At 48.0% G+C, this 4,715-nt stretch overlaps 1 annotated feature.

Moving 5' to 3' along the window:
* Positions 214-1,413: an enhancer, noted in NCBI's record as "MED14-independent group 3 enhancer chrX:7290864-7292063 (GRCh37/hg19 assembly coordinates)". NCBI's record gives its function as "activates an origin of replication core promoter dependent on BRD2, BRD4, P300/CBP and CDK7 cofactors, and independent of MED14, by STARR-seq in HCT116 cells {active_cell/tissue: HCT116}" and the evidence as "EXISTENCE:reporter gene assay evidence [ECO:0000049][PMID:35650434]".

Genomic DNA, 4,715 nt, shown 5'->3' on the forward strand with positions numbered 1-4,715 from the left:
AAATGATGGCAGAACAGAAAGTGGAGGTGCTATAAATTTCATGCTTGGCAGCTTGCACTAGATGTATTTCAAGGTAATGACTCTACCTAGAACTTTTCTAGAATGACCCCTGTCAAAGCCCCTATTCAGAAGCTACATTCACTTCTGAATGAGGTGACGAGAAGCTTGGAATAGGATTAGATAATGGATACATGTACAGGCTGCTAAGATGTTTATGGCCTGTGGGATTTGCTGTGAATGCAGGAGCTGGGCCAGTCCAATTTCTTGCCAGCAGTTTGAAATTGGGAACTTCAGAAATGGAGTCAGTCACATGTCTGGGAGAGTGAAAACCGAAACATTGTGATTCTGCAAAGATACGGCTTCATTTCTAGTTCCTTGGGTGCTAGGTTGTTTCTGGTTTCCTTTCTCTGGATTTCCTGACGTTTCCATGATGTCTCATAAAAACGTGCACTTCTTGCCCAACTTGGGTTTCCTCAAGAGAGTATCTGATTTCACAAGAAAAACAACAACAGTCTCACTTTACACAAAAATTAGCTAATATGCACTGACTGTTTACTAGGTACCCGACCATATTCTAAAAACTTTATGGATATTGACTCTGTTATTTATCAAAGGGCATTATTAGGTATTTTAGCTACATTTTAAAATGTGGAAAATGAGGCTAGGAAAGGCACATTCTTCAGTGTGACTCAGATGCCACACCCTCAGCCTCTATATTGTGTGACACATCAGAGATTCACGTGGAAGAGTTAAGTTATATGTTTTACTGAAGGAAATGTGAATTCTGTACCGGATGTATTTTATGTGTTAGTTGGTTTATTTATAATATAAGGTTCTCAGCTGTCCTGCAACAGCCATTGGACTGACAGTACATTAAAATGTAAGTGGATCCCAATCCAGGATTTCAGTTAATTCAATTGATGACTGCTATTGGATATTCCTGAAGAGAGGGTGGATCTAGAGGGAAAAAAAAGAGAAAGCTGTGCATATGAGGGAACAATAATGATGACAACAATTACAACAATAATGTAAGGAACAGTATTAAGTGACCAAGGAAAATTGCTCAATAGACTGTAACTGGACCAGGAGTAGGTCTGAATGAGTTGAGTGAAAGAAGAAGAGTAAAAGGTCAGAGCAGAACTCACTCCTGTGAGTACCAGGGGCCAAAGCCTCACTCACATTCTTACCCTCATACTTCTCCAAGTCTTCCTTCCCTGGGCAAGATCTCCCCCACCCTCTGGTCTCACAGTGAGGCAGAGAACATAGTCCTTGAAGCTTGACAAACCTACATTTAAAACTCCAAGTCTGGGCTGGATGCAGTGGCACATACCTGTAATCTAGCACTTTGGGAGGCCAAGGTGGGAGGATTACTTGAGGCCAGGAGTTCAAGCCTGCAGTGAGCTAGGATTGCACCGCTGCACTACAGCCTGGGTGACAAAGCAAGACCCTGTTTCTAAAAATATACATGAAAAAAGTTAAAAATTCCATGGCTGCCAGTTTTGCGATTTTTTGCGCAGTTTCTCTTCTGTAATATGGACATATGGACACTTGTCACTTTGGAGGGTCATACTGTAATATAATGAATACACACACATATGTAAAAGTGTTTGCAGTATCTGTAATGTATGCCTAACACTCATTTTTCAACATTCATTGGTCATCCACCTATTCAAGTGTCATGGAATCCTTGGAGTGTTGCTTCACCAGCCAGAAACCTCTCTGGCCAGTGACGCCTTCTGCCTGGGTATTTCTTGCACCTGCTGGGCTCATTTCACCCACTTGGCCTGGCAGGTTGTGCTTGGCTTGCACTACCAGCCCAGATCTCATACTCGCCAAGTGCAAGTCAGGTGCGGAGTGGCAAGGGGTGTGTAGGTGAGCGAGCATGGGGTCCAGCCACTGCATGCAGCTAGGCATGCTGGCTGTTGCAGTGGGTCAGGCAGCTCCAGGTGCCAACACAGGTGCCAGCTCCATGCCAGGCTGTGGCTGGACAAGATGTACTGCACACAGCTTCTGCTGTGGGCACTCCCATCTGGACAAGGGAAACGTGGTGGTGTCCTGAAGCTTGGAGATGCCAGGAACTGCAGAATCCCAAAGAGGGTGTCACAGCCCTGGCTCTGAGAGCCCCTGGGTCTGGGCTCCCAAAAGGGAAGCAGCTCTTCTCTTCTTCTCGTCATCTGCACCGTTGTGAGCGGAGGTGCATGTTTCAGCCCTGTTTGTGTTACAGCTCTTTTAGTGCTGTTATTCAGTGGGTCTCAAGTTTTTGTCTCGTCTCCAGGAAGAATGAGGTACACAGACAACTGGAGGGTGAGCAAGGCAGAGAGGAGCTTCATTGAGTGGCAGAACAGTTCTCAGGAGACCCAAAATGGGTAGCTCCTTTCCACAGGCAGGTCATCTAAATGTCTATGCAGCCCTCAGTGGAGAGGAGACCTGCAGTGGGTAGCTCCCCTCCACAGACAGGTCACCCCAATGTCTGTGCAGCCCTCAGTGGAGAAGAGACCTGGAGTGGGTAGCCCCTATCCACAGGCAAGTCATCCTGACATCTGTGCAGCCCTCAGTGGAGAGGAAACCCAGAATGGGTAGCTCCTATCCACAGGCAGGTCATGCCTTCATCTGCCCGAATCTGGCTGAGTCCGGGGTTTTTATGGGCTTCAGAGGGGAGGAAGTGCCTGCTGATTGGTCCGTGGGCGGCCATGGCCAGGCCAAGGAAAAGCAACATTAGTTCTCACTGTGGTCTGTGGAACTGACAGCCTGGCCTCAGGTCATCCCTGGCTTGAAGGTAAGGCCTCACCAGTGACCCACCCCTTTCCACCCAGAAGCCTGTCTGCCTCCTGCTGTCATCGACCTGTCATCCATAGTGCCCATGGCACCCAGACTGTTTACGCCAAGGGGAACCTGCAGGCCCACACAGAGCTGCCCTCAGCCCCACTCCTTGGCCTCCCTCCTGTGGTCATCAGTGCCTAAAGCCCAGAGGGGGCTGAGGCAGCAGGAGGCTGGTGTGTCAGTGCTGCCTCAAGCACACACACACCCAGGTGAATCGTGACAGCATCTGGGCTTGACCTCAACTTTGCTGCAAAATCAGACTGGATACTGGGAGTGGGGAGAGGCCAGGCAGTTGGAGAAGGCACTTCTGAGCCTGTGGAGGGAGGGGAGCTTCCCAGCTGATATGGTTTGCCTGTGTCGCCACCCAAATCTTATCTTGAATGGTAACTCCCACAATTCCCACATGTCATGGGAGGAACACTGTGGGAAGTAATTGAATTATGGGGACAGGTCTTCCCTGCACTGTTCTCTTGATAGTGAATGAGTCTCACAAGATCTGATGGTTTTAAAAATGGAAGTTTCCCTGAACAAGCTCTCTTTGCCTGCTACCATTCATGTAAGATGTGACTTGCTCCTCCTTGCCTTCTGCTATAATTGTGAGGCCTCCTCAACCACGTGGAACCATAAGTCCATTAAACCCTTTTTCCTGTATAAATTACCCAGTCTCAGGTATGTCTTTATCAGCAGCATGAAAACGGACTAGTACACCAGTCCCCAAGAGCACAGGGATGCCCAGGTCTGCAGCCATGGCTGGGTGGCTGCATCTGTGCCTGTGAGGGTGGGGCTCCACCCCTCTAACTCAGAAGGGGGTGGGGCTCCCGCCTGTTCCCAGCTCCCACTGGCTCCATGGAGTGAACAGCTCTGGCCACGTCTCCCCCACCACAGCCGGCATCATGGCAGTGGCCACTCCAGACAGGTCTCTGTTGCCATCACAAGCATCCTTAGCCCATCCTCAGATGGTCTTTTCATCCATAATGCATGTCGTATTCTATTCCACATGGCAGCTGTTCATACCGTGTTCACTGTTTTTGAGTTTCTAGTGCTTTACACCATCCCTCTCTCTGGACTCTTACTTGATTAAGAACATGGAATTCCCTTGGCTAACCCATTTTCAGGTTTTCTACCTGTCAACTCAAATATTATCCATGTCATTATGTTTTATTTTATTTCTTTGTTGTTTTGTTTGTTTGTTTGTTTGTTTGTTTTTGAGACAAGGTCTCACTCTGTCACCCAGGCTGGAGTGCAATGGTGCAGTCATAGCTCACTGCAGCCTCAACCTCCTGTGCTCAAGTAATGCTCCCACTTCAGTAGCCCAAGTAGCCGGGACTACAGGCATGCACCACTACACCCAGCTAATTTTTCCGACTTTCAGTAGAGACAAGGTTTCACTATGTTGCCCAGACTGGTCTTGAACCCCTGAGCTCAAGTAATTCTCCCACCTTGGCCTTCCAGAGTGTTAGGATTACAGGTATGAGTCACTGCCCCTGGCCATTTATTTCTGTCTCAGCAGACTTTTTTTGCAAGTCTCACCTGTTGTGCTGGGCTCTCAAACTCTTGAACTCATCCACTGTCCTCTCTCTAGGAACTTTTTCCATCTGGAATTTTCTTTTGTAACATCAGCCCTTTCCTCTCCACCATCCCCTCCCACCCTGTGTCCGTCTTCTTAGGAAGATTTTCTTTGACCCTCCTTCCCTGATACACTAATGCTTCATCACATTCTTGGTTGCATTCAAGCCTTTGCCACATCATAACACAGTAGTGCATGCCATTGATTTTACTTCTACCTATCCAGCTCGCCCTTCAACCATGGAACATCCCCTCTCATACAGTTGTCCATTTAGAGCTCTTCTTTCCAAGTAGTTGCCTACTCGAGTGACCTCTTTTCACGTTCATTC

This window comes from Homo sapiens, chromosome X (assembly GCF_000001405.40).
Source record: "Homo sapiens chromosome X, GRCh38.p14 Primary Assembly".
Classification (NCBI taxonomy): Eukaryota; Metazoa; Chordata; class Mammalia; order Primates; family Hominidae; genus Homo; species Homo sapiens.